This window comes from Homo sapiens, chromosome 7 (genome assembly GCF_000001405.40).
Source record: "Homo sapiens chromosome 7, GRCh38.p14 Primary Assembly".
NCBI classification, from domain to species: Eukaryota; Metazoa; Chordata; class Mammalia; order Primates; family Hominidae; genus Homo; species Homo sapiens.
In genome coordinates, this window is record NC_000007.14 from 127416400 (window position 1) to 127419100 (window position 2701).

General features: G+C 43.1%; 1 annotated feature.

Annotated features, from left to right (window-relative positions):
* Nucleotides 1050–1299: an enhancer, noted in NCBI's record as "active region_26585". NCBI's record gives its function as "activates an Ori minimal core promoter by ATAC-STARR-seq in GM12878 lymphoblastoid cells {active_cell/tissue: GM12878}" and the evidence as "EXISTENCE:reporter gene assay evidence [ECO:0000049][PMID:35858748]".

Sequence of the window (2701 nt, forward strand, 5' to 3'; positions counted from 1 at the left end):
TTTAAAACTATATTTCAACATAGTTTTCATTATGTCATCTTAACATTTAATTTTATGCATTTGTAAACATTATTCCAAGAAGGAAATCTTGAGGCTTGACCAGACCTCCCAACATGGCCCATGACACAAAAAGTTTAGAAACCCTGATAGGATTACGCTAAAGAGAAAAAAATCTACACAGGAAAAAAAAAAGGTTATTTACTATGTGATCCCATCTAAATGACACTGTGGAAAAGGCAAACTTATCAGGACAGAAATCGGTGAGGAAGGAAGGGGACTGTCTACAAAGAGGCACACGAGTACTTTTTGAAGCAATGGAAATATTCTATATCTTGAATGTGATAGTGGTTACACAACTGTATACATTTGTCAGAATTCATTGAACTGTACACTTAAAAAGACAGAATTTTAATATATCTAAATTATACCTAAATTTTGTAAATTTAACTTTTAAAAAACAGCCCTGCTAGAAGATAGCAGGGTCACAAGATTAAAGGAGCTGGCATGTTGTCTTCAAGGGGAGCCACCCACTAACCTGAACAACTGCCCAGGGCTGTCATGTGAGAGAGAAATCAACTTCTATTGTGCTGAGTTTGTGTACTTGAGTTTATTTGCTACCAAATAAACTTAGACTACCCTTACACATTTAGGAAGAGTATTTTGTACGGCATAATACAAATGTTGGAATGAGAATATAATGCTCCTGATGCTGTTAGTCAAGAGGTTTGCATAATTTGGACAACCACTTAACTTCTCTGAACTTCAATTTCCCCATCCATGGAATGAATGGAATTGATAGTAACCACCCACCCCCGCCCCCCGCCGTACCCCCTTGCAGTATGTTGTAAAGATGAGAGACTGGACTGCATAAATCTTAGCCTAGAGCACCCAACAAATGAAAAGCTGTTATTCAAGTAGCCACCTATTCTGATTATATTTGGAGCATTACCTACCGTATTGGTAGTCCCAGCCCTGTAAAATCTAATATTACACTTTCTTTAGCAAAACTATTTCTCGAGGTTTCATCCTCTTTTTTTAGCAAGTGATTTTCATATCTCAAAGTTAGTTGAGATGTTCAAGACCATCTGATCCAACCCTTTCATTTTCTATTTCTACTTAGGGTAACAAAATGAAAGCAAGCGCGTGGCCTTCTTCTGAGTGACAGAACTGGCAGCTCAGAGCCACTGCTGAAAAAGAAGATCCAGAAAATCCCCACATTTTGAGTCACAGCTGCAGCTGCTGAGGGCCAAGATACTATCCCACAGGGCTCCACCATTCTTGAAGAACTAAGGAGGAAAGACCTGGGAGAGGAGAGGTCACAATTTGGGAGGCTACACTTGTATTAAAATGAGGCTATTCTCTTCCTTTACCTCTAGGAAGCCAAAGAAAGTTCATCAGAGAGATTGAGGATTCCCAAACTCCCCCAACCTCAACTAAGCTAGGGACTAGAGCTAGCGTCTTATCTAAGAGTGGATCAAGAACTTGATTAGCAAAGGGCCTGATGCTGCTTCACAGACTGATGATAGATCTTAGAGGTTTGCCTGTGAGGGGCAACCTGCATTTCCACTATCAGCAGCAACAAGGATTCTTGGATGCCTGTGGGCCAAGATGACACTGCTAAAGGAGCCTGATCCTTAGCGATCTACTCCACTGAACAATGGCCAAAGAGCCAATGGGACCCCAACAGCAAGAGGCAAGTGGCGGGAACCAACTGGGACAGGGGCTGCAGACATGATAGCTGTGGAGTCCAAGCCAGATCCCCAATGCCAGGGACTATGCAAAGACGAGGTCCCTATTAGCACCCTTACAGGAACCAACAAACGCACCTCAGAGAATCCGTATGCGCTTGCTACCAAAAATGCAAATGTGTTAAGCACCAGTCAGTGTTAGAGAATCAGTAACTCAGTCACAACAAATGGAGTGGAAACTACTACCTCACCATAAGTCATTCTGTAAGAAGACCTCTGCTTCTACCTTTCCCACTCACTTCCCACCCCAGCACCAGAGGGGAAGCAGTGAGAAAGGAGGGATGAAGAGAGGTGTCTCACATAGTATCCACTTTGTGTGCTCTCTCCACACTCCTGCCAGCCATGCCCAAACCACCACTCCAGCTTCTGCCACCACCACAACTGCCACCACCACCACCATTACCACTACCATCACCACCACCACCATCACTGCACTATTGCCACTATCACTACCATCGCTACCACCATTATTACCACCACTATCACCACCAGCACCAGCACCACTACACCATTGCCACCATCACTACCATCACCACCACCACTACCACCACTACTATCATCACCACCATCACCACCACCACCACATCATTGCCACCTTTACTACCAGCATCACCACCACCACCACCACAACACTACCGCTACTACCATACCACAACCACCACTGTCCCCACCATCACTATCAGTACCAAGCAGCCTAGAGCCAGAGGTCTTACTGGTATATGTGAGGGGGTGGATAGAGATTTGGGCCTAGCATGAGTTTAATACTTAAAAACAAATACTACTGAATCTTAAAACATGTTTAATAAACTGTTTTAACAAATGTGTGTCTTCAAAGTTGTGGAAGTGCACTATTATGCCTCAAAGGAGCCCATTACCCAAAGACAGAGCATCACTTGAAAAAATAAAACCATTTCATGTTTATACCCACAACAAATTGGGACTTTTTGATAGAA